The following is a 26,288-nucleotide window of genomic DNA, read 5'->3' as shown; positions in this document are numbered from 1 at the left end:
CATTGCCACTGCTTACCACGGGTGTTCAGGTCAGAGAAGGGCTTCATTTTTCTTTTTCTTTTTGTTTTCTCTCTCTTTTTTTTTTTAGATGGAGTCTCACTCTGTCGCCGAGGCTGGAGTGCAGTGGTGCAATCTTGGCTCACTGCAACCTCTGCCTCCCGGGTTCAAGCGCTTCTCCTGCCTGTTTCCCGAGTAGCTGGGATTACAGGTGCCCGCCACCACGCCCGGCTAATTTTTGTATTTTTAGTACATCATGTTGGCCAGGCTGGTCTCGAACTCCTGACCTCAGGTGATCCACCCGTCTTGGCCTTCCAAAGTGCTGGGATTATAGGCGTGAACCACCATGCCCAGCCAGGGCTCCATTTTTCTCTAGGCTTACTGGCCAGCAATGCCAAACAACACCAGACTGCTGGCACAGCACTGTCCAAACCATGCGGTTTCAAGCCACCGTGCTTTTTCAACAGGCTGGTCCCTTCCCATGACATTGAGCCCAGTTTATCCTTCTTGTCCTTGAAGACGTTGCACCAACCACGTGCTAGAGAGCCTTCCTTGACCTCTCCACACCCCAAGTTGGTTTATGTGTCCCCATAACCCTTGGGCCATGGCTTTTACATGGCATTTGCCACATTGGTTTGAAATGATGTTTAGGAATCTCGCCACACTGTTGGACTGTGACTCCAAGGGCAGCTACTCTCTAGCACCTAGCACCATGCCTGGTGCATAGCAGGTGCTCAATAAAAGGGTGGTTGAGTGAATGGGATGGTCACACAGCCTCCCTGAGCCTCCATGCTGTCATCTGTAAACAGATTCCTCCACTGCTACCTCTCAGAGTGATTGCAGGGGTGCTGGTTGCAAATGTGTGAGTCGCCACCTTTCCTGGTCATCTGAGAGCTGTTCTGCACAGAGAAAGTGTTCAGAGAGGCTTGCTCCTGGATTTGGGAACAATGTGGAAGGAGTCCCAGTTTGGTTGAAGCACTCAGATCTGTGTGTGTCAGGCCAGCACAAGTGCCCTGTGGACCTGAGTCACTCCAGCAGGTACCTATCCACCCCAAAAAACAGAAACATGGAGCAGGAGCTCAGAGAACGGCCAAAAACAGCTTGCCTGAGGGGCCTGGGTCTGCCAGCAGCACCCATTAGAGAACTAGGGGGTCATATACACCCCACTGTGGGTGGGGGCTGAGGCTTCTTCCTAGAGAAGACCCAGGTCCAGAGCTGGCGATGCCCCAGGCCACTGGGCTCAGCAGCCCCTTCCTCTCTTCATTGCAAACCCTTCTGAAAATGACTAGGGGGCCTGGAGCCCTGTAGCAGCTGAGAGGCGAGATGTCAACCCAGGGAGGTCTCACTAAGTAAGATAAGCCATGAGCTTCCTTGGCTTCTCGGAGTCCTGGGGTTCATTACCTGGAGCCCGCATGTGGACTTGGCAGTGGGGAGTCCCTGAACCATCTCAGATCTTGTGCAAACTTTGAGGAGTATCTGATTTCAGAATGTGGGTTTGCTGGGAGGGGAGCCTTAGCTTACACTGGATTCCCAAATAGGTTACTGGCCCCAGAAGTTTAAATATTGCATGTGATTTTTTTTGTTGTTGTCATTGAGATGGAGTCTTACTCTATTGCCCAGGCTAGAGTGCAGTGGTGCGATCCTGGCTCACTGCAACCCCTGCCTCCTGGGTTCAAGCGATTCTCCTGCCTCAGCCTCCCGAGTAGCTGGGATCACAGGTGCACACCACCACGCCTAGCTAATTTTGTATTATTAGCAGAGTTGGGGTTTCACCATGTTGGCCACGCTGGTTTCAAATTCTTGATGTCAAGTGATCCACCCACCTCAGCCTCCCAAAGTGCTGGGATTACAGGCGTGAGCCACTGCTCCCAGCCTGCATGTGAATTTTATAAAACTAAAATAAACCCCACTATCTCTGCAGCCTTAGGGCCAGAGTGAGGTTGGCTCATAGGGGGCTTCCTAGGCTCTGCAAGAGAGGTGAGGCCCCTGGAACAGGACCGAGCCCAAGGACCTTGGATTGTTGCTCCTCCACTCCCCTGCACTCCTCATGTGGCCTCCAGTAGGTCAGACTTGTTCATTCATTAGTTCAATTATTTATTCATTTTATGAGCAGTTAATGAGCTCCTATGCCAAATGCTGGGGATACCAAGATGAACGAGAACTACGGCCTGCTTCCTTCACTCCCAGTTCAAACCAGGGGTCTCCAAAGTAGGCTGAGTATTCTCGAGGTAGGTGCTAGCTGAGACCCTATTCTTTTTTTTTTTTTTTCTTTTGAGATGGAGTCTCACTCTGTCGTCCAGGCTGGAGTGCAGTGGTGCAATCTCGGCTCACTGCAACTCTGCCTCCTGGGTTCAAGCGATTCTCCTGCCTCAGCCTCCTGAGTAGCTGGGATTACAGGCACGCACCACCATGCCCAGCTAATTTTTGTATTTTTAGTAGACATGGGGTTTCACCATGTTGACCAGGCTGGTCTTGAACTCCTGACTTCAGGTGATCCGTCTGCCTTGTCCTCCCAAAGTGTTGGGATTACAGGCGTGAGTCATTGCGCCCAGCCCTGAGCCCCTATTCTTATACTTGAGAATGTACATTACTTATTGGTAGATTGGCACCTGTTTTATAAAAGAACAAGTTAAAGAATAAATAGACAGGGGATGTGTGGTGGAAAGAGTCCAGTGACCTGTCTGGAGAGCCCGCATCAACCACATGTTCAGACTGGGGGCAGAGGCCTCTCCGGTGCAGAATCCTGGGGTTTGTTTTCTCCTCAGAGCCAAGGGGTTGCTCAATAGGCCCCCTCTTTTTTGAGACAGGGTCTTACTCTGCTGCCTAGGCTGGAGGGCAGTGCCACGATCGAGGCTCCCTGCAGCCTCAACCTCCTGGGCTCCAGTGATCCTCCCACCTCAGCTTCCTGAGTAGCTGAGACTACAGGTGTGTGCCACAAATCCTGGATAAGTTTTTAATTTTTATTTTGTAGAGACAGAGTTTCACCATGTTGCTCAGGTTGGTCTTGAACTCCTGGGCTCAAGCAATCCTCCCGTTTCAGCCTCCCAAAGTGCAAGGATTGCAGGCGTGAGCCACCATGCCCCAAAAAGTTGAAAGAATACAAAAATCACCCGTATTTTTACCAACTAGACTCAAGAATAATATTTTGCTGTATTTATTTATATATTTGTTAAACATTTGTATATTTTTAAATTTGAAGTTGCACTTATCCTGCCATTTCATCCTAAACACTCCAGCATGTATCTCTCAAGAACAGTCCCCCACGTAACCTCAATACCCCCCTTTATTTTTTTGAGACAGAATTTTGCTCTTGTTGCCCAGGCTGGAGTACAATGGTGCAATCTCGGCTCACTGCAGCCTCTGTCTTCTGGGTTCAAGCAATTCTACCTCAGCCTCCCGAGTAGCTGGGACTACAGGTGCATGCCACCACGCCCAGCTAAATTTTTGTATTTTTTGTAGAGACGGGGTTTCGCCGTGTTGGCCAGGCTGGTCTTGAACTCCTGACCTCAGGTGATCTGCCCGCCTTGGCCTCCCAAAATGCTGGGATTACAGGTGTGAGCCACTGAGCCCGGCCCCTTTTCACACCTAAGGAAATAATGTCTCCATTAAATGATGTGTGATTCAGTCCATATTCAAATTTTCTTAGTTGACTCCAAAATGTCTATTATAAAGGTTTCCTTTTGAATTTGAGTCCAATCCATGCCACCTATTGCATTTGATTGTTTTGTCTCTTTGTCATTCTAAAATAGAACCCTCACCATCCCATCCCCTGCCCTACATTACTTTTTTTTTTTTTTTGAGACAGAGTCTCGCTCTGTCGCCCAAGCTGTAGTGCAGTGGCACGATCTCAGCTCACTGCAAGCTCCGCCTCCCAGGTTCACCCCATTCTCCTGCCTCAGCCTCCGGAGTAGCTGGGACTACAGGCACCCGCCACCACCCCTGGCAAATTTTTTTTTTTTTTGTATTTTTAGTAGAGATGGGGTTTCACCATGTTAGCCAGGATGGTCTCGATCTCCTGACCTCGTGATCCGCCTGCCTCGTCCTCCCAAAGTGCTGGGATTACAGGCATGAGCCACCGCGCCCAGCCCACGTTCACTTTTTTTTTAGCCAGTCTCACTCTGTTACCCAGGCTGGAGCGCAGTGGCGAGATCTTGGCTCACTGCAACCTCTGCCTCCTGGGCTCAAGTGATTCTCCTGCCTCAGTCCCCCGAGTAGCTGGGACCACAGGTGTGTGCCACTGCACCCAGCTAATTTTTAGTATTTTCTTTTTGGTAGAGACAGGGGTTTCGCCATATTGGCCAGGTGGGTCTTGAACTCCTGGCCTCAAGTGATCCACCCACCTCGGCCTCCCAAAGTGCTGGGATTAAAAGCATGAGCCACTGTGCCCGGCCCCCACGTTGACCTTTTAAGGAGTTGGGCCAGCTGTCCTGCAGAATGCTCCCCTTTCTTGACTTGTCTTCCTCATGGGAAGCTTCCTTCTGGAATGCTTCCTCATGGTGTCGCTGGGCCTTTCTTTCAGCCCCTTGTAAACTGAGGTATAGGGCTAAAGGTCAGATTAGAGTTAAGTTAAATATTTTTGGCAAGGATGGTCACAGGTGGTGCTGTGTGGTTTGCAGGTGGCAATTGATGCCAGGTGCCTAGTAGTGATGCTTAAGCCAATCACTTGGTTAAGGAAGTGACTGCCATCTCTCCCAACGTAAAAATACCAATTTTCACTTTGTGATTAAGAAGTAATCTACCTGTAGCCGGGTGCGGTGGCTCATGCCTGTAATCCTAGCACTTTGGGAGGCTGAGGTGGGTGGAACATGAGGTCAGGAGATCGAGACCATCCTGGCTAACATGGTGAAACCCCGTCTCTACTAAAAATACAAAAAATTAGCCGGGCGTGGTGGCGGGCGCCTGTAGTCCCAGCTACTCAGGAGGCTGAGGCAGGAGAATGGCGTGAACCCGGGAGGTGGAGCTTGCAGTGAACCGAGATCGCGCCACTGCACACCAACATGGGCGACAGAGCGAGACACTGTCTCAAAAAAAACAAAAAAAAGTAATCTACCTGTAATCCCAGCACTTTGGGAGGCCGAGGTGAGCAGATCACGAGGTCAGGAGATCAAGACCATCCTGGCTAACACAGTGAAACCCCGTCTCTACTAAAAATACAAAAAATAAGCCAGGTGTGGTGGCGGGCACCTGTAGTCCCAGCTACTCCGGAGGCTGAGGCAGGAGAATGGTGTGAACCTGGGAGGCGGGGCTTGCAGTGAGCTGAGATCGCGACACTGCACTCCAGCCTGGGCGACAGAGCGAGACTCCATCTCAAAAATAAAATAAAATAAAAAAAGAAGTAATGTACCTGTAATCCAAGCACTTTGGGAAGCTGAGGCTAGAGGATCGCTTGAGGACAGCAGTGCAAAGCTAGTCTGGGCAGCACAGGGAGGCCCCGGCTCTGCAAAAAATAAAAATAAAATTGGCTGGGTGTGGTGCCGTGCACCTGTGAGGTAAGGCAAAAGGATCCCTTGAGCCCAGGAGTTCGAGGCTGCAGTGAGCTATCAAGCCACGGCACTCTAGCCTGGCAGACAGAGTGATATCTTGTCTCTCTAAAAGAAAAAAAAATTAAATTAAACAATAAGCCGGGCACGGTGGCTCACGTCTGTAATCCCAGCACTTTGGGAGGCCAAGACAGGTGGATCACTTGAAGCCAGGAGTTCAAGACAATCCTGGTCAACATGAGGAAATCTCGTCTCTACTAAAAAAAAAAAAAGTCTCGGCGTTGTGGCTCATGACTATAATCCCAGCACTTTGGGAGGCCAAGACGGGCGGATCATGAGGTCAGGAGTTTGAGACCAGCCTGGCCAACATAGTGAAACCCCGTCTCTACTAAAAATACAAAAATTAGCCAGGCATGGCGGCATGTGCCTGTAGTCCCAGCTACTCGGGAGGCTGAGGCAGAAGAACTGCTTGAACCCGGCAGGTGGAGGTCGTGGTGAGCAAAGATCACACCACTACACTACAGCCCGGGCAACAGAGAAAGGCTCCATCTCAGAAAAAAAAAAAAAAAAAAAAAAAAAAAAGATCTGGGTGTGGTGGCGCGTACCTGTAATCCCAGTTACTTGGGAAGCTGAGGCATGAGAATTGCTTGAACCCAGGAGGCAGAGGTTGCAGTGAGCCAAGATCGCACCACTGCACTCCATCCTGGGCGACAGAGCAAGGCTCTGTCTCAAAAAAAAATTAATTAAACAATAAAAAGAAAAAAAAGGAGGTTATCTAGGGGAGGAGGATGATGCTTTGTCTCCCTGTCCGTTTCCCAACAAGCTTTCACTGAATCGTTTTAGCACTCATTGGTGACCCTGGCTTGAATCAATTAGACTGTCCCCAACCTAGATGGTTTGATTTAGAATTTTTTAACTTTAAGATGGGGTTTATTGGGATGTAACATTATCATAAGTTGAGCATTTGGACTTACAATGATTTGACTTAAGATTTTTTTTACTTTACTATGGATTTATCAGGGTATTAAATGCATCTTCCACTTACATTTTTGACCTACAATGGGTTTATCTGGACATAACCCTATTATAAGTCTAAGGGCACCTGTATCATTTTTGGGGCTGAAAAATTGCAATTTTCTGTTTCTACCTTCCTTTCTACATTTTAATTTTTTAAATATTTATTTATTTATTTATTTATTTATTTGAGATGGAGTCTTGTTCTGTCGCCCAGGCTGGAGTGCAGTGGCACAATCTCAGCTCATTGCAAGCTCCGCCTCCCGGGTTCATGCCATTCTCCTGCTTCAGCCTCCCGAGTAACTGGGACTACAGGCACGTGCCGCCACGCCCGGCTAATTTTTTGTATTTTAGTAGAGACGGGGTTTCATCGTACTAACCAGGACGGTCTCGATCTCCTGATCTCGTGATCTGCCCACCTTGGCCTCCCAAAATGCTGGGATTACAGGCGTGAGCCACTGTGCCCAGCCCTATTTTTTAAATTTTAAATTTTTTATTTTTTATTTTTATTTTTTTTTGAGACAGAGTCTCGCTCTGTTGCCCAGGCTGGAGTGCAGTGGCGTGATCTCAGCTCATTGCAAACTCCACCTCTTGGGTTCAAGTGATTCTCCTGCCTCAGCCCCCCGAGTACCTGGGAGTACAGGTGCATGCCACCACACCTGGCTAAATTTTTTTTTTTTTTTTAGTAGAGTCGGTGTTTCGACATTTGGCCAGGCTGGTCTTGAGCTCCTGATCTCAGGTGATCTTCCCATCTCAGCCTCCCAAAGTGCTGGGATTACAGGTGTGAGCCATTGTGCCCAGCTCCTTTCTACATTTAATAAGTGTCTTTCTGATTAAAAAAAAAATAGAGCTTCCTTTAATCAACTGGGAATGAACTATGTTCCCCTAAAAATGCAGGGTAAATGCTTTTTTAAATAAAGTTTTGAGTTATAGAAACTTTAAAAAATTACTATTACACAGCAACCCAAAATATTTTTTTTTAAAAAAGATGGGCCGGGTATGGTGGCTCATGCCTATAATCCCAGCACTTTGGGGGGCCGAGACAGGTGGATCACGAGATCAGGAGATGGAGATCATCCTGGCTAACACGGTGAAACCCCGTCTCTACAAAAAACACAAAAAAAAATTAGCTAGGAGTGGTGGCAGGTGCCTGAAGTCCCAGTTACTCGGGAGGCTGAGGCAGGAGAATGGCGTGAACCCAGAAGGCTGAGCTTGCAGTGAGCGGAGATCGCGCCACTGTACTCCAGCCCAGGCGACAGAGCGAGACTCCGTCTTAAAATAAATAAATAAATAAAATAAAATATAAAAAGATCCTGAAAACACGTTAAAGTTCACCATCTTTACCATTTTTTAAGTGTACAGTTCAATATATCTATTGTTGTGTAACAGATCACCAGAACTTTTCATGTGGCAAAACTAAAATCCTGTACCCATTAAGCAACTCTCCATTTCACCCTTCTGCATGCCCAGTTCCTAGCAACCACCATTCTACTTCCTGTCTGTTATGAATTTGTCTACACTGGATGTCTCATATAAATGGAATTATTCAGTATTTCTTATTGTGACTGGCTTATTGCACTTAGCATAACGTCCTTGAGGTTCATTCATGTGTTGAATGTGACAGGATTTCCTTCCTTTTTAAGGCTGAATATTTAAGTATGCGTGTATGTATATTGTATGTATATATCATTATTTGTTTATTCACTCATCTGTCAATGGACATTTGGGCACTTCCACCTCTTGGCTACTGTGAATGATGCTGCTATGAACATGGGTGTGTAACTATCTCTTTGAGACCCTGCCTTCAATTATTTTGGATATATATCCAGAAGTGGGACCACTGGGTCATATGATAGTTCTATTTTTAACTTTTGAAGGACTGGCTGGGCATGGTGGCTCATACCTATAATCCCAGCACTTTGGGAGGCTGAGGGAGGTGGATCACCTGAGGTCAGGAGTTCGAGACCACTCTGGCCAACATAGTGAAACCCTGTCTCTACCAAAAAGACAACAGTTAGTTGGGTATGGCGCCACGTGCCGTAGTCCCAGCTACTTGGGAGGCTGAAGCAGGAGAATTGCTTGAACCCAGGAGACAGAGGTTGCAGTGAGCCAAGATCGCACCACTGCATGCCAGCCTGGGTGACAGAGTGAGACTGTCTCAAAAAACAAACCAACCAACCAAAAATTAGCCGAGCATGGTGGCTCATGCCTATAGTCCCGGATACTTTGGGGGCTGAGGCAGGAGGATTGCTTGAGCCTAGGAGTAGGTTGCAGTGAACCAAGATGGCACCCCTGCACTCCAGCCTGGGCAAGAGTGAGACTGTCTTAAAAAAAAAAAAGAAACTTTTGAAGAACTGCCATACTGTTTCCACAGCAGTTGCACTTCAAAATCCCATCAATGGTGCACAATGGTTAATTCTTCTCACCTAATTATCAATTTCAGAGTAAGGAGTAGATATATTCAAGTCTAATGGTGGCAAATACATTTTTTTTTCAAATTATCACTGTGAATGAAAGAATTTTTATTTGCTCAATAGTTTACAATTCATCGTAGGCCAGGTGCAGTGGCTCACGCCTGTAATCCCAGCACTTTGGAAAACCAAGGAGGGTGGATCACCTGAGGTCAGGAGTTTTGAGGCCAGCCTGGCCAACATGGTGACACCCCGTCTCTACTAAAAATACAAAAATTAGCTGGGCGTGGTGGTGGGCATCTGTAATCCCAGCTACTCGGGAGGCTGAGGCAGGAGAACCGCTTGAACCCAGGAGGCAGAAGTTGCAGTGAACCGAGACCGTGCCACTGCACTCCAGCCTGGGCAACAGAGTGAGACGCTGTCTCAAAAAAAAAAAAAAACAAAAAACACACAATTCATTGTAATCATTCTTCCTTCATGTTCAAATGTAACCAAATTTGGCCAGTAGGAGATCCCTTCACCCTAGCTTTTTTGACATTTTGATCTGACTTCCGTGTCTTCCCTGCTTTCTAGAACTGCCCCAGTCCTACTTAGATTTCAGGATCTGCTGTTTCTCCAAGGGGCCCCGGCTTGGTTCCTTTCAGTGGGGAATGGTATTAGAGACCACGATGTGAATACTGTGTGCTGGATGCTACCAGGGTGTCTGTCATTGCTTCCAGGTTTTGTTTTTTTTTTAACTCACCATATACAAAGCAGGAGGTCCTAGCTCCTTGCAATGGACAGATAGGAAATGTATCTTTTTCTTAAATCCTGAGTTCATATTGATATCTTCATTCAAATCATTCAAATTTAATATTAGAGATTTTTCTTAATTTATTTGGTTTTATTTTTGTAGCTCCTTCTTCTATTATTATTTTTTAGAGATGGAGTCTTGCTGTGGTTCAGGCTGGAATGCAGTGGTGAAATCTTGGCTCACAGCAGCCTCCAACTCCTGGGCTCAAGGGATCCTCCCATCTCAGCCACCTGAGCAGCTGGAACTACAGGTGCATGCCCCCACGCCTGGCAATTATTATTATTATTTAAGATAAGAGTCTCGCCCTGTTGCCCAGGGTGCAGTGCAGTGGCACGATCTTGGCTCACTGCAACCTCTGCCTCCCGGGTTCAAGTGATTCTCTTGCCTCAACCTCCCAACTAGCTGGGACTACAGGTGCCCACCACCATTATCGGCTGATTTTTGTATTTTTAGTAGAGATGGGGTTTCACCACGTTGGCCAGGCTGGTCTCGAACTCCTGGCCTCAAGTGATCTGCCTGCCTCCTCCCAAAGTGTTGGGATTACAGACATGAGCCACCACGCCCAGCCAATTATTTTTTATTTGTATAGTATTTTCTCCCTTCTTATACAAGATAATTTATTACATGTACTGTTTGATACCTTTTTTCATTTAATCTCTCCTAAAGATCACTCCAAATAATCTATCCATGAAGATCTTTTTTTCAGTTTTTTTTTTTTTGAGACAGAGTCTCACTGTATTGCCCAGGCTGGAGTGCAGTGGCGCAATCTCGGCTCACTGCAATCTCTGCTGCCCGGCTTCAAGCAATTCTCCTGCCTCAGCCTCCTGAGTAGCTGGGATTATAAGCACCTGCCATCACACCAGGCTAGTTTTTGTATTTTTAGTAGACATGGGGTTTCACCATGTTGGCCAGGCTGGTCTTGAATTCCTGTCCTTGTGATCTGCCCGCCTTGGCCTCCCAAAGTCCTGGTATTAAAAGGCATGAGCCACCGCGCCCGGCTCCCTTTTTTTTTTTTTTTGAGACGGAGTTTTTGCTCTTGTTGCCCAGGCTGAAGAGCATTGGCACAATCTCAGCTCACTGCAACCTCTGCCTCCCGGGTTCAAGCTATTCTCCTGCCTCAGTCTCCCAACTAGCTGGGACTACAGGCATGCGCCACCACGACCAGCTATTTTTTTTTTTTTTTTAGTAGAGATGAGGGTTCACTATGTTGGTCAGGCTGGTCTCGAACTCCTGGCCTCATGGGATCCAGTCCCTTGGCCTCCCAAAGTGCTGGGATTACAGACGTGAATCACTGCGCCCGGCCCCTTGTTCTTTTTTGTGTGGCTTAATAGCCTTCCAACCCCCTCCGCCCCTGAGAGGGAGTTTTGCTCTTGTCGCTCAGGCTGGAGTGCAATGGCGCAATCTAGGCTCACTGCAACCTTCGCCTCCTGGGTTCAAGCGATTCTCCTGCCTCAGCCTCCCAAGTAGCTAGGATTACAGGCACCTGCCACCACGCCCGGCTTTTTTTTTTTTTTTTGAGATGGAGTCTTACTCTATCGCCCAGGCTGGAGTGCAGTGGCGCGATCTCGGTTCACTGCAAGCTCCGCCTCCTGGGTTCACGCCATTCTCCTGCCTCAGCCTCCTGAGTAGCTGGGAATACAGGCACCCACCACCACACCCAGCTAATTTTTTTTGTATTTTTAGTAGAGACGGGGTTTCGCCGTGTTAGCCAGGATGGTCTCAATCTCCTGACCTTGTGATCTGCCCGTCTTGGCCTCCCAAAGTGCTGGGATTACAGGCGTGAGCCACTGCACCAGGCTCAATAGCCCTTAAAAAATCCCTTATTATAGAGATTTCCAAATAGATACAAAATTAAAGAGAATATTGAACACTCCTGTACCTATCACTGAACCTCAATAATTGTCAATGCATCACCAATCGACAGCAGCCCTTTGGAAATCGAGCCCTAGGAGGCTTGAGTGATGCTGTGAGCACAGGGCTTGGGGGCTGGAAACTTTCATTTCAGTGACCCTAGGAGCAGAGACCACCCCTTTGGAAGATGAGCAAACTCACCTCTCCTTTCATCCCTCCATTCCCCCAACCACCTGTGTACTTATCTCATGCCAGGCACTGGAGCAGAGTGTTATTTATGCCTGCTTTGTTTCTGCTTACAAGAACTAGGAGACATGAGCTGTCTCATCCCGCTTGTGGGCAGAGATTACACGGCAGTTCAGTGTGATCCTAAAAGCAAGGGGGTGCTGTGAGTGTTGAGAAAGGAGCACCTACCTGTCCAGCAGAGTCAGGAGGGGATTATACAAACCTGAGACACATCTTGGGGTACTACATGTGCAAGGTGGGAAGCTAAATGAATCCTGATGCCCACCCAAGATCAGAGCCCTCGGGAGAGGTAGCAGGTGTGTGGGTGGGGGACAGTAGGAGCCGTGGACAGAGTTCAGTTTGGACACTGTTCTCTGGCGAGCAGACACACACTGGTTAGAAACAACTTTGGCCCCTAGTGCCTGGGCCATCCACCCACAACAGGAACTGTTCACACACCTCTGGGCCATCCTTGATGTGACTAAGGTGGGCAAGCACCATTTTATAGAAGAGTAAATGAAAGTCTAGAAGGATTAAAAACCTTGACCCAACTCACGAGGCTGGTAAGTGGGGCAGCAGTTTTGGCCTGGGGTTGCCCAACTTCTAAGCCTATGTTCATTCTCCAGGCCCCCTACCTCTGCGGCCCCGCAGGAGACAGTCATTACTGCTTTAACTGGACAGATGAATGGCAGCGCCAGGGCTGCCCAGAGGAAAGCGGGGAGGGGAAAGACCTGCCAAACCCTACCCCGCCGACAGAGCACGAGACGGGGGACAGGCCAGGAGTTTGCTTCTCTCCTTGGTCTACAACAAAAAAAAATTGGATTTAGCCAACAAAAAACACTGGCAGGAACTTTACAGTTTATAAAGCTTTTGCATAAGTCACCTCTGGTTCTTCCCAACCATCTTACGACGCTTTATTACTGTGATTTCAGAGAAGAAACAGGCTTACAGAGGTTAAGGGCTTGAGACCACTCAACTGGTTTTAAGTGGAATCCAGACCAGAGGTGCCGGCTCCACGTCTACTGCCCTTTCCACGGTGCCATGCTGCCTCCCACAAAACATCCACAGTGCCCTTGGCCAATGAGGGGCCGCCATCGGAGGTCACAGGAAGCCTTTTCACAGTCCCTCTGGGGCATGAGTGGGGAGCAGCTCTTCTCCCCAGAGCTTTAAAGCCCCATCGAGGAAGGGGTGAGAACTGACCTCCTGAAGTGCCCGAGTGTGTGTGTACGGGGAGAGTGGACTCAATTTTTATTTTTGAAACCTCATGCACAGAGTTCCTTATATTCCCCAGGTCCCACAAGAGTACCAGGTGCCATTTCAGAACCACCTTTCTAAACCTCTGCCCACCCACTGAAAGCAACACGGCCCTTCACAGCCTGGCTTCCTTCTTTTGACACACAGCCCTTCCGCTCCAGTGGAGAATCGCCAAAGATCATGAAGGGTAAATAGTCTCCTCTGAACCCCTGGTCTGGGAAACCCGTTTCAACCCCGGGGGGAGCCCAGTGGCCACTGGTGCTGCCCAGGGGCTGCTGTGGGGCAGAGATAACACACAGAGGAAGGGTGGGGTGGCAGGAGCCCTCCCAGGAGCAGGGCTTGCCTGTAAACAATGAGCTGCCGCCTCGCCAAGGCAGGAGGTGATTCATCTCCCCCGCTGCTCAGCTCCTGCTGGCTGCGCTCACCGGGCACCAAAGGACTGGGGCAGCCCTGGCCAGGCGCTGACGCCTCCCCACTCTCTGCACAGGTCAGGATCTCACCCCAGCCCTTCTGGAAACTGGCTTGACTTCAAAAGCCTTCCTGGGTGTGTCCAAAAAGTGATCTGGTCTGGGGAGTGCTCAAGTGCACTCAAGGGAGCACAGCTCCACCATCACCCGAGAACTGGCTGGGTTTTGGGATCAAGGCGGCAGATGGGGCATACGTGGGGCTCGGGGACTCCCGCCTGTCCATGCCCAGAGGCATACACGGATAACAACGGTGACTTCTTGGGTCACCCCTCTGAACAGCGTCCCAGGCCTCCATCACCCTGTTGTCAACCCTGAGGCAATAGTCCCAACCAAGACTATTGAGTCTTGGGGGACATGTGAGCTGAAGCATTTGCCTGCAAACAGAATGCAGGAGAGGCCAGTGCATCTGAGATGCCAAGAGGTAAGAATACGGCACTTTTAATAGGCGGCAGACCCCAGGTGGTGCGTGGACAGACCCTGTCCACAGCGCCTGGCTCCCGTGCTGCCTGTCCTTCCATCTGGAATGCCAAACAGAAGCTCCTCTCAGGTGGCATCTGGGGAGTAGGTCCCAGTCCTGAAATATACAAAGTGGCGCCTCCCACTGGGCAGTGGTCACTGGGCTGCACGGTCCTTTCAAGTCCTAGGGTGGCCCCTCAGGTCACTGCTTGGCCTTCTTCACAATGGTGCCCACAGCAGAGATGACGGTGGTCTTGGAGCCGCTGGCGCTGGTGGTGACCGTGACAACAGCTGGCAGGGTGGCTGTGGTGGTGAGGATGGTGGGCTGGGCTATCGTTGTCACTGGGATAGCCGAATCCCACTTGCTCTTTCTCTTCTGAGCATCTGGAGATAAAGCAGAAATCAGGATCACGATCCACCAATGAGCGGTGCCCTCTTTCCCTTCCCCCTGCAGGCCAGCGGGAGTCTAGGGAGCAGACCCCGAAGTGGCCCACCCCAGACTCCAAAGGTGCTTCTCAAAGTAGCAAGGCTGAGCCCAGGCCCAGATCCACGTGCTGTCTGTCGCCCAAACAAGCCAGGGAGACCCTGGCTCCATGTGTGTGGCAGGAGGCAGGGCAGCTCTGCAATCTACCTGCAACAGCTGTGCTGGCAGTGGTAGTGGTGGTGGACGTGGCGTTGGTCGTGGTGCCTTTTTTGGTGCCCGTCACAAACTCAATCTGGAGAGGGAGAGGGAAGAGAATAAGACCAGGCAAAGCTGGGTGTCCACAGCTTTTTGCCATCCGTCAGCTCCTGGGGGACAGGAGCTTGGCACTACACAAAAGAGGCATTGGAAATGAACTCTGCTCTGCCCATCTGGGGTAGGGCGAGATGTCTAAGAAGAACCCAAAGGGGCTTTTCACTCTTAAAAGAACTTTCCAAACAGTACTGTATCCCTCCCGGCATCACCAGGTCTCTGCACATGCCCGGCACCCCCCGCCCACCGCCCCACCTCACATGCCCAGAACCGTTTGGCCAGGCCCCTCCTCCTCACACCCAGGAGGAGGCGGTGCCCGCCCGCACAGGGGAAGGACAGCTCCGGTCCCCAGGCGCTGCAGACACGTCCCTGCAACAAGCCTGGGGTTTGGAAGGGAGAGGGAAAGAGAGAGAAGGGAGATTCAATCAAGGGTTAAGAATGAGAAACCCCAACTATCCCCTTGCACCAGCTCCCACGTTCCTGGCCCAGCAGCCAGCACCTCCAGAGGGCCACCAGCATGCCCAGGCCCCACAGCCCCTCTGCTTGGGGTGAGGGAAGCGGTCTGGAGGCCGCAGCTGCTTGAGGATGGTCAGGCCGAGCCAGAAGTGGGAGGAGCTGGTGTCCTGATGCCCGGCTCTGAGACTGGTCACAAAGGGAACAAGGCCCAGAGATAACAGTTTGGTCTCCCAGCCAAACTGATGCTCCCTGAAGAACCCAGACCACACTGCCAGGGAACAAGTGGTGCTCAGGGCCCTAACGTGGGACCTAATAGGTAGCACCCAGGCGAGCCACTGAGGGCAGCTCTGGAGGCCAAGACACTCACCGAGCAGCGCAAGCTGGGCCTGGCACTCTCTTAGGGAACTATTTCCCTCCCTTCAGGCTACAAAGGGCCCCCATGACCCAAAACGGACAAAGCCCCCCAAGGCTCTGCAATTGGCGGGGAGGAAAGGGGGGCACAATGTAGCAAACAAGTCTCCGAGGGCAAAAGCAGCAGACGAGCGCCGTGAACCCAGCAGGTCTGCTCAGCACACAGGCCCTGCTGAGAGGCTCAGAGCATCGCCGGGTGATGACACGGGGCCAGGGTTGGGGGCAGCCTGGACACCTTCTGGGCTCAGCCAGCAGGACCCATGCACTCCACATGTGCCTTTTTCATCTAGGAGGTCTGCCATCACTTACTTTTGTTCGCTCCTTTTTGGCCTTTTCCAATTTGTCCATCTCAATTTTCTGGGCCTTGGCTATGAAGACAAGAGAAGCTGTTACAAAGGTGGCCCCCGAGCAGCTCTGGGCTGAGGGAGCCTACTCTGATCCCTGCGTTCTTTTCAGCGGGCTAAAGGCCTTCATGGGCTCAGTGTTCTTTGTGCTTGGCAAAATGAAGCCAGCCCTTGGTCGGCATAGGGCAGGGGCCTTCAGCTCCAGACTGGCGGGCTGCATGCCCTGTGTGTGCCCGGAAGGGTCAGCTACTCCTGAGCTCCTGTGGACTGCCACACACGGGAATACAGGCCCAATGGGGACTACCCTCCTACTGATGGAGAGAAGCTGGAATCAGAGATTATATAAAATGTTGGCAATGAATTCAAATTAAAAGATGACAAAATTCATGAAGGCCAAACAAAGCACCTCTACAGGCCAAGATCTGGGCCATGGGCTGCAGGCTTAAGACCTATGGTCTAGGGGTTTGGGCCCTTTGACATTTCTCCCAGTGCTCCCAAACTGGTATCTTAAGAAAAAGCCATCCTCTCACTGGCCTCAGAACATTCTGCCTACACCTGCCTGGCCCCTCTGCCTCTTCAAACCTCAGCTTGAACACAGTTTTGTCAGTGAGGCCTTCCCATCCCTTTGGCCAGATTAGATGACCCTGCTTGCCAAAGCTCCCCTGTACCCAGCAACTCCGTCATCACCAACACTCATCGATGCTGGCGTTACTGGCGTGACGTTCCATCTTCTTTGCTGTGGCATAAGCCTCTTAAGGCAGGGGTGGGTCTGTCTCATTCAGGCCTGTACCCAGCCCCCTTGAACATGGCCTGACATAGAGTAGACCCTGAAATATGTGTCACCTGGATAACCAACTGACTGGATAAAGGGACAGTCGGGTGGGCGGACAAGGTATATGGGAGGAGGGACGAAAGGCTACCTAATGCCTCATAGTAGGAGTCCTCAGACCAGCCATGGGGATCAAACATATCCTGCAAAGGAAAAGGCGAATGACTCAGATGACAAATGACTCAGAAACCCAAGTTCCTGGCCCAAGTCTTCCCATAGAGCTTCTTGGTCTGGGGTCCCCTTACCCGGGGCTCGGCTGTCATCTTTGGTCTTTAGCCAAGGGGCGGCTGGCAAGTGCTGAAGAACATGGGAGCACGAAGCCCCCATCCAGCGAACCCCAGGAGCAGCAGGTCCACACATGTCCCCACCAGTCAGGGGCCAGGCACCAGGCCGGCCACCGGAATCTCTTTATTGGACTATTTCAGAACAATAGGGACTCAAACAAAAGAGACAGGGACTGTGCTTTCAACGAGCCGTGCCACCACGTGGACCTTTCTGTGGCTGCAGGTCAAATCCCATGGAACAAGCAAAGGACCCTGGGTGTCCCCATCACCCTCCAGCCCCGTGTGCCAGACGCACCTTTGGGTAGTTGGTGCCAAGCTCGTCAATGGCACAGAACTGGATCAGCTTCTCGTAGATGCTGAAAGAACAGTGCCGGCGCTGAGCAGGCACAAGTCCACGTCCCTGCATGGGACCTGAACCATCCAGCTCCTGGGGCTGACACAAAACCTTCACAACTTTTAAATCCAGCTCAGCTGCTCTAAGCAAGCTTCCTGATGGCCCTCCACTCTCCCAGGGAGATGGACCTGTTAGCTAGGGGCCGGGAGGAGCACAGGGTCAAGGTGACGGCTGAGTTTTGTCTCACTGACCTTCAGTCTGCACAGCTGGATTGGGCTTACCACACTCAGACCCACACAAGGGCCATGCTCTTTTCCCTGTATGTCACTAGCTTGAACATTCAATGGAGGAAGACCAGACATCGCTCTGGTCCTAAGACCTCTCACCTATATGCAAAAATCAGCTTTTTAGAGTTGGAAGATGAACCTACAGTAATTGTCTAGTCCAATTCCTTCCATGAGGACAGGGGACTTGAGAGGTCATGTGCTTTAGGCTCAGAGCAGGGACGAGAACTCAGCCAGGTCTCCCTCATCCCCGTCTAGGTCTCGGTATGAATTGCTTTGTGTTTTTTCTGGATCTTAAATGGCAAGCCTCTGGCTGGGTTAGCACAGTCCGCCATGTCCAGCAGGCACTCAGTGTAATGACAAGTCTGGGTGATGGTTTGGGCTCTGGGCTTTTCCTCACCACCTCCTTGGGGACGTCTTAGTCCTTAGTCCAACATTAATAACTCAATAAACTCTGCAGGCTCAAGGGAAACTTACCTAGGGTTCCGAAATTCTTTCTTCCTTTGGATAATGTAGTTCATATCCATTCCCTCCTTTATCTTTCGTTCATAAAGCTTCTGGATCTTGTCCTGTGAAGAGGAGCAGAGGGGGTGGGGGGGTGTATGACAGAAGCCCACCCCTCCACCGTCCCAGCCCCTGGTCACCAGCTACATGTGCAGCATGAACATGAGGCTCCAGTCAGGCAAAGCCCAACTTGACCTCATGTTAAAATTTAACCTATCCTCAGCCAGGCACGGTGGCTCACGCCTGTAATCCCAGAACTTTGGGAGGCTGAGGCGGGTGGATCACGAGGTCCAGAGATTGAGACCATCCTGGCCCACATGTTGAAACCCCATCTCTACTAAAAATACAAACAAAATTAGCTGGGTGTGGTGGGGCAAGCCTGTAGTCCCAGCTACTTGGGAAGCTAAGGCAGAAGAATAGCTTGAACCTGGGAGGTGGAGGTTGCAGTGAGCTGAGATCATGCCACTGCACTCCAGCCTGGTGATGCAGTGAGACTGTCTCGACAAAACAAAACAAAAAATTAATCTATTCTCTTTCTCCACCCTGCCTTTGCCCAGAACTGCACACAAGTAAGATAAACCGAGACCAGGCTGCTTTCACTGCTGAGGTTTCCTGACGCTCTCTGGATGACAGTATAGTGAGCAGTGAAAAGATCACACAGCAGAGGAGCCATAGAGAAAATAATGAACAAAGCCCCAACTGGTTAATCAGTTCCAGAATCATCCGAAGTAGGGTTTAGGGGTTGGTGTTGATACGCAGGGACTAAATCCTGGTTTTCAATTTTAACATGAGATCAAGTCCTCAGCAGAACTGTGAGCCACAGGAGACTTCGGAAGGGCTATGTCCTTTTAACGGGAGGCGGGAATAGAGTTTTTTGGATTCGGTCTTGCAAACTTTTTAGAATGTGTCTTTTATGGGGAGGCTCACAGGTGGCTGGTCCGCGCTGGTTTATCGAGGGCATCAAGGGTTAACTGCTTATCTCTCACCCAAACTCCCCCACAGGTCACTGCCCTGGCTTTCGATGGGAGAGTGGAGAACCACCTCGGGGGATCCAGGCTTACCTACTGTGGCCAGTGCCACAGGCGTCCTCAGGAAGGGGGTCCTGCCCAGCCCATGGACATGATGCCCAAAGTAGACGGCATCAGCATGACCCAGTGCCAATGAAGAGGGCCAAGACACCAGAGTGTCATGGCAGAGCCACCTCTAGAAAGAGCAGTCTTAGCAAGGAAGGCGGGCACTGGCCCAGGGCAAGATCTACCTGCAGCCTCCCCCTGCAGTGGGGGTTAAATATAGATTCTCCAGAAGGGAAACATCTGAGGCACTGTGCCGGCAAAAGCAGGTGGGCAGGCCTGGAGGGCCCACATGACAACATTTAGGACACGTCAGGAGGGGTGATCCACTCCCCTTGTTAGAGGCCAAATCTTTCTACCAAGACTGGCCAGAGCAGAGCTGAACTGCAGAGAGAGGTCTGTGACTTCAGCCGAGACTGAAGAACCTCTGTCCTCCAAGCTGTCTCCTCCAGGGTCATGGAGGGAGCCATATACAGAAGGCTTGGCAACTTGAGGAGAACCCATGTCATACAGATGACTTGGCTGTGTCTCCTGGGCCATAAGATCAGTTCTACTACTCAAGATGAACTAAAATGTTTGCTCGAATGTCATGGTTTCCACCATCAGGAGGGTCTAAAGAGGAGGCACAATTGGCACTGTATGCTGTGCGCCGTTTGTCTCTGCCTGGCGGGTTGCTGGAGTCGTCCTTACAGGCTGGAGCTTGTTGTCTGGTTGTCTGGCACGGAGGGTGACGTGATTCTGGAGGGCGGTGGTGGGGAGACGACCCAGCAATGGGAGGAGACTTCCGGGAAGGGAAGGGAATCTGTGCTGCACCCCCAGTCCTGCTCTGGCCCTCCCCTAGCTTGCTGCATTCCTTAGCCTCAGGTCCCATTAGTCATCCATCCGTTAGGGCGGTGTCACGGGCTTGCTGTGTAGCCAGAGGCACCCAGTGGGAGCTCCAGGATCAAAGGTGAAGCAGGTGGTCCAGGAGCCATGATTGTGCAGCCTTGGGTGCCTGTTCTATTGTTCATCACAAGGGAACCCACAGAGGGACAAGGAGAGCCACGGGCTGAACCCTAGCTGTCCCCCCAGGGAGTGTAACTGCACAAAAGCCTCGACTCCTTGGGATTTCAAAACCTCCAGTCAGGGCTGCACATTCTGTCAGGGAAGAAGCTACTGAATCAGCATTTTAGAAATAGATTAGGATAGAAAATGTATACATATAATGCCTGTGACTTTTTCATTTCTGTAATTTATTTTACATTCTGAGGGTTCCTCAGTTTCTTAGCAAAGCTCTTTCTGAGAAGCTACCACTGGCCCAGTAGGGCTGCACAGAAAAGGTTACGTTCTTTTCTCTGTCTCTGCTTAGGACTTCACTGAAGGCAAGACAGGGCCGCCCTGCTGGAGCAGCACCACGGGACATGGCGGTGGGTGTAGGAGCCAACTCCTGAGATGAGGCTAACAGGAGGTAAAGTGGACTGTGGGATCCTTCCCACCTGTCAGTTTCTTTTATAGAAGCCTCAGTCCCTTTCCCTGCCATGGTCTCTTAAGATTAAGACCAAACCAAACACGTAACCCAGGCTATCTAATCTATCCGACCTCAGTAGCCGAGTCTCATGCTTACTTGCAAGTGATTTGAACATCTGCCAGGGGGTTCTGGCGGGATCTTGATTTCATCAGGCGACATGTTCCGAACTCTTTCAGAAAAGGAGGCTGTTGAGAGAAGAAGGAAAAATTCTGTAGGTGGGGATTAGAACAAGGGACAGACATGGACAAAAAAACATAAGCACATAAAATGTTATCAGGTAGGGATAAACACTATGAAAACAGTACAACTGAGTGTTCGGATGTGGCCTCTCTGAGGTGTCATCTGAGCTGAGACTGAATGACCGGAAGGGGTGGGCCATGTGCCAGCTTGGGAGAAGAAAAGTTCAGGCAGAGGGAATAAATGTATACAGCAGTTAACTTTTCCGTTTTTTTTTTTTTTTTTAAAGAGACGGGGTCAGCTGGGTGCGGTGGCTCACGCCTATACTCCCAACATTTTGGGAAGCCAAGGTAGGCAGATCATTTGAGGTCAGGAGTTCTAGACCAGCTTGGCCAACATGGCGAAACCCCGTCTCTACTAAAAATACAAAAGCAACTGGCATGGTGATGCATGCCTGTAAACCCAGCTATTGAGGAACTAGAATTGCTTGAACCCGAAGGTGGTGGCTGCAGTGAGCCAAGATCACGCCACTATACTCCAGCCTGGGTGACAAAGTAAGACTCTTGTCTCAAAAAGGAAAATAAAATACATAAAATGAAATAAAAAAATAAAACAAAGAGATGGGGGTTTTACTCTGTAACCCAGGCTAGAGCGTAGTGGTACAATCATATCTCACTGCAACCTCGAACTCCTGTCTCAGCCTCCTGAGTAGCTAGGACTACAGGTGCATGCCACCATGCCTGACTAATCTTAAAAGTTTTTGTAAAGATGGGGTCTCGTTATGTTGCCCAGGCTGGTCTTGAACTGTTGGATCAAGCCATCCTCCAGCCTCAGCCTCCTAAAGTGCTGGGATTATGGGTATGAGCCACTGTGCCTGGCCCACAATGGTTAACTTTTAAGGAAAGAGTCAGCAGTGTGCTGGTAAATGTTTAATGACCAGCTGGGCGTGGGGATGGGGAAGCAGGGAGGCGCCATGATCTGTGGCATTTGCCATTTCTTGTGGTGTAAATTCTCCTGCCATGGCCAATTTCAAGCTACCAAGGTGAAGTCACTGAACTCAAGGCTGGGAAGAGATGTACACAATAGGCTCACAACATGAGCCAGCTCCAGCCACCACTGCATATGTCTGTAAACCAGCTCCAGCCACCACTGCATATGTCTGTAAACCAGCTCCAGCCACCACTGCATATGTCTGTAAACCAGCTCCAGCCACCACTGCATATGTCTGTAAACCAGCTCCAGCCACCACTGCATATGTCTGTAAACCAGCTCCAGCCACCACTGCATATGTCTCTAAAATACTTGCAAGATTTTGGAAACTCAGAGGTGCTTGGGGCCACCCGTCTCGTCTAAGGCTGACCTGCCTAGGCTACAGGAGAAACAGAATTCAGGGTTCCCTAAGTTTTGGGTCCCAAAGTAAACAAAATGGCCTTGTGTATAAATGATACTTTTTACCATTATCAGCTGAGGATCTTTTAAAAATAAACCAATCAACTCTCTCTTAGCCCACCTCATTCCTGAGAACAAAAGGCCTGATTCTGATGGGAAGAACCACAACCCCCAGGGGACAATTTCCTTAGAGATCTGCCACTGTCCGGCAGGCCTTGCTCTCTCCAGCCTCTTCCCCGCAGCCTTGGGCCACCCCGGCACTGCAGTCCTGCTTTGGATCGCTGGGACAATGCGCTATTTGTTAAGATTCTGTCTGCGCTCTTCAAAACACTCTCTCATGAAAAGGATCATACAATGAGCAAAGAGCAGCCAGGGCAGGGTGGGGCAGGATGAAGAGAAAGAATGAACAAAACACCAGTAACACTCAGCAAGCACTTACTGAGCACCTACTGTGTGCAGGCCCCAGCTAACCCACTGCTGAGCTGCCCGGCTGGCTTCGCACAGCCAGCCCCTTCTCCTCTCCCCATGCTGGGTTAATGTTTGCTTAGTAGACAAGGTGCTTTGATCTCTGCCTGGAGTTTCAGTTACTGTAAAGAACACAGTGCCAAGGAGGGCTGGGGACAAGGCTCCCAGACTCTGCCAGTCCAGCTGCTGCAGGATAAGCCTATGCCGACTGCAAATACACTGAGACAGGAGTCGAGCCTGGGGCCATCCTAAAAACATGACTTCATGTGTTGATTTTCACTGTTGTCAGTGGATTCTCACTGGAAGCGCCCCAAGAACAGAGCACTAATCTGCCATTTTAGGTGACGGCAAGAGGACAGAGACTGGGTGATACATTGATCAGAGGTCCTGCTGTGGGCCCCAGATGCCAGTGCAGCCCAAGAGCAGGAGACGAGGTGCTTCTCTTTGCCCAGCACCTTCCTTTGGTCTCCTGACTCCTCAAGCAAAGGTGAAACCCAGATATGGCTGGAATTCAAGTCTCCTCTAACTTCCTCCTTCTTCCCAGCCCTGGAATAGGTGAAAGTGCCAAGGCTGAGGTTGCAGAAGCTGGTGGAGAGTGGAATCAGCTGGGGGGAGCTGGTCCTATCTCACAAGCAGCAACAACAAAAGCAAGGAGGGCCTTGGCAGGCGCTAGGCACATAAACAAGCAGGGTTAACTTCTTCCCTGGGCTGGAGAGAACCTATCTGTGCTTGTGACAGAGAGACAAAGAGTGCCCTTTGGCATTTGCCAGGAAAGCCTTTGGAAAAACAGGGTGTGACCCTGTTGCCACAGCAACCCAGCCACACTCTGGGGCTCACATGGTGTACAGTGTAAGAGGAGGGGCCGGGCGCGGTGGCTCACACCTGTAATCCCAGCACTTTGGGAGGCCGAGGCGGGCGGATCACAAGGTCAGGAGATCGAGATCATCCTGGCTAAAACAGTGAAACCCCATCCCTACTAAAAATACAAAAATTTAGCCAAGTGTGGTGGTGGGCGCCTGTAGTCCCAGCTACTCGGGAGGCTGAGGCAGGAGAATGGTGTGAACCCAGGAGGCGGAGCTTACAGTGAGCCGAGATTGCACCACTGCACTCCAGCCCCTCCAGCCTGGGTGACAAAGCCAGACCCCGTCTCCAAAAAAAAAAAAAAAAAAAGAGGAGGGGAGCCCCTCCTCAGTCCAGGGCTTGAAACAAGATAATTCCTAGGAAGTAACTGGCAAATAAAGGAACACATTCGGGAAAACTAGATAGAAGTGTACAACACAGAGTTTGGAAGCAATCTTTCAGTGGTCCTCTCCCTTCTGAGTCCTGGAATGAATCTAATGTGGAAGACTTGAACCCCACATTTCTGTTTCTTTTCTTTTTTTTTTTTTTAATTGAGATGGAGTCTCGCTATGTCGCCCAGACTGGAGTGCAATGGTGTTATCTCGGCTCACTGCAACCTCCACCTGCCAGGTTCAAGCAGTTCTCTTGCCTCAGCCTCCCGGGTAGCTTGGACTATAGGCAAGTACCACCATGCCTGGCTAATTTTTTTTTTTTTTTTGGATTTTTAGTAGAAATGGGGTTTCACCACGCTGGCCAGGCTGCTTTTGAACTCCCAACCTCGTGATCTGCCCGCCTCAGCCTCCCCAAGTGCTGGGATGACAGGCATGAGCCACTGCGACCAGCTGAGCCCCACATTTCTTGTAAGCAGACAGAGCCTCAAGCCAGTAAAGCGATGTGTCCACAGTCTCTTGGAAGCAGCGCTGGGTCTGTGGCTGCTGCCTGGGTCTGATGGGTGTGTTCTCAGAGGCAGCCGCACTTAGGACTTGAGAAGCCAGCTGTCAGCGTGACTTGCCCTGGTGCGTGCCCAAGTCAGAAAACACCCAGAGTACCCACAGCTGCCAGGGAGGGATCTGTGCAGGAACAGCTAGTTGGACGGGCTTATGGGATGGCAGGGAGTGAGCGAGCTGGGGGGCCCCAGGGGACGGTGGAGTATCTCCAGCTCCTGAGTGACAGAGAGAACCCACGTGCACTGCCACACCAGCACCACTGCTCCAGGCTCAGCCGTGGGCATCTGCGAGGCCCTGGAGGGCACAGACAGGGTGTGCATGCTCGGCTCTGTCAAGGGGCTGCAGTGCTGCAGATGCCTGTGGTTTGGCTTCTCTGCTCTCCTGCTTGTTCTCTAAAAGCTGGGGCTGTCTACATGCATGGACACACTTCCCATACCTGGTAAGCAACCTGAGTCCTGACACCAGAGTGGACAAAAGCTTAGGTAGAGGGGCTGACAGGCACTGCATCATGAATGGAAGCCACTGTCCTTCAACTAATTACGTCTTCAGTAAGAGGAACTAAACTAGCTACTCGTCAATGAGGAATGGTGAGTAATCAAAACGATGCCGCTTAAAGATCCATTTGTGTCCTCATGGGTGAATCAGTAAACAAACTGTGGTGTATCCCTACAGTGAAATATTACTTGGCTACAAAAAGAAACTCTGGACATGCCCAACTACATGGATGAGTCTTGCAAGCACCGTGCTGAGTGAAAGAAGCCAGACAAAAACACTAGTTCCCTTTCTATCCCTGGTTCTTAACTAGGGGTGATTCTGCCCCAAGGGGACATTTGGCAATGTCTGGAGACATTGATCACTGTCACATCTGGGGAAGGGAGAGTGCCTCTGGCACGTAGTGGGTAGAGACCAAGGACACTGCTAAACACCCTGCAAAGCACAGGACAGCCCCACAACAAAGACTCATCCAGCCCTAAGTGTCAGTAGGGCCAGGGTGGGGAGATCCTGATTTATAGGAAATTCTAAAGAAAGGCAAAGCTATAGTGAGGAGAGTGTAGATCACAGCTTGCCTGAGGCTGAGGGAGGGAATCACCTGTAACACGGTCGGGGCACAAGGGAACATTTCGGAGTGATGGGTGCGTTCTGTATCACAATTGTGGTGGGGCTAACACAACTATACACATTTGTCAAAATTCATAAAATGGCACACGTAAAATTGGCAAGTCTTACTCTATGTAAATTATACCTCAATAAAGCTATTTCCAAAAAGTGGCACAGGGAGAAAAAGTGACAAGTTGGCTCTGGAAGCAACTGGGGGCTGAGATGGCTGATGCCCACACACATTCCACTGCCTGCCCAGCACTACTAGCAAGAGCAAGGGCATCTCTGCGTTGGCACGTGACAGGCTGCTCTCTGATCCCCAGCCGTGTAGTTTCTCACAGTAAACAGCAGGGTCGGCTCGGGTGATGGCGGGGATAAGAGGCCAAGGCTCCCGTCCACGCCCGACCCGTGGATCGCCCCCTTGGGCCGGCCATCGGCTTCCCAGCAGATGCACACTCTGCTTCCTCTGCCCTCAAAGCCAAATGTTGCACCCCTAAGGCGTCACTTTCTAAAGAAGAAACTCTAGGTTTTAGGAAAATCTTGGTTTTTATAGGATTTGAAAGACTGAAACTCCATCAGAGAGGCCAGGGATTAAGGCCCTCCTGCTGAGGGTCTGGGCTGCTCAGCGTTACCGTGTTCCCACCCAATCCTTCTTCAAAAGACAAATA

The 26,288-nt window shown here is 50.5% G+C and overlaps 1 protein-coding gene across 9 annotated transcripts in view, besides 3 other annotated features; it reads right to left on the bottom strand.

Annotated features, from left to right (window-relative positions):
* Positions 12,613 to 26,288, bottom strand: part of SAP30BP (SAP30 binding protein) — a 40,722-nt gene continuing 27,046 nt past the window's right edge. For 4 of the 9 annotated variants that reach the window (NM_001301855.2, NM_013260.8, NM_001301839.2 and 1 more), the window contains 7 exons: positions 20,801 to 20,889; positions 18,101 to 18,192; positions 17,301 to 17,361; positions 16,813 to 16,864; positions 15,858 to 15,916; positions 14,580 to 14,664; positions 12,613 to 14,332 (listed from right to left, as the gene is read on the bottom strand). In NM_001301855.2, the coding sequence (NP_001288784.1) occupies positions 14,151 to 14,332; positions 14,580 to 14,664; positions 15,858 to 15,916; positions 16,813 to 16,864; positions 17,301 to 17,361; positions 18,101 to 18,192; positions 20,801 to 20,889 (620 nt within the window). In that variant the 3' untranslated portion in view covers positions 12,613 to 14,150. Of the gene's footprint in view, positions 14,333 to 14,579; positions 14,665 to 14,980; positions 15,062 to 15,857; positions 15,917 to 16,812; positions 16,865 to 17,300; positions 17,362 to 18,100; positions 18,193 to 20,800; positions 20,890 to 26,288 lie in introns of all 9 variants that reach the window. The other 5 variants (XM_011524693.4, XM_011524694.3, XM_047435870.1 and 2 more) reach the window with 3 other exon arrangements.
* Positions 13,082 to 14,281: an enhancer, noted in NCBI's record as "CDK7 strongly-dependent group 2 enhancer chr17:73702471-73703670 (GRCh37/hg19 assembly coordinates)". NCBI's record gives its function as "activates an origin of replication core promoter dependent on BRD2, BRD4, P300/CBP, MED14 and CDK7 cofactors, with strong dependence on CDK7, by STARR-seq in HCT116 cells {active_cell/tissue: HCT116}" and the evidence as "EXISTENCE:reporter gene assay evidence [ECO:0000049][PMID:35650434]".
* Positions 19,765 to 20,964: an enhancer, noted in NCBI's record as "MED14-independent group 3 enhancer chr17:73695788-73696987 (GRCh37/hg19 assembly coordinates)". NCBI's record gives its function as "activates an origin of replication core promoter dependent on BRD2, BRD4, P300/CBP and CDK7 cofactors, and independent of MED14, by STARR-seq in HCT116 cells {active_cell/tissue: HCT116}" and the evidence as "EXISTENCE:reporter gene assay evidence [ECO:0000049][PMID:35650434]".
* Positions 22,954 to 23,665: an enhancer, noted in NCBI's record as "H3K4me1 hESC enhancer chr17:73693087-73693798 (GRCh37/hg19 assembly coordinates)". NCBI's record gives its function as "activates a minimal SCP1, AML or CMV promoter by ChIP-STARR-seq in primed H9 embryonic stem cells {active_cell/tissue: H9 hESC(primed)}" and the evidence as "EXISTENCE:reporter gene assay evidence [ECO:0000049][PMID:30033119]".

The sequence above is a fragment of the Homo sapiens genome, chromosome 17 (genome assembly GCF_000001405.40).
Source record: "Homo sapiens chromosome 17, GRCh38.p14 Primary Assembly".
NCBI lineage: Eukaryota > Metazoa > Chordata > Mammalia > Primates > Hominidae > Homo > Homo sapiens.
Note: the sequence above shows the minus strand (reverse complement) of the source record. Positions and strands in the feature narration are given on the sequence as shown.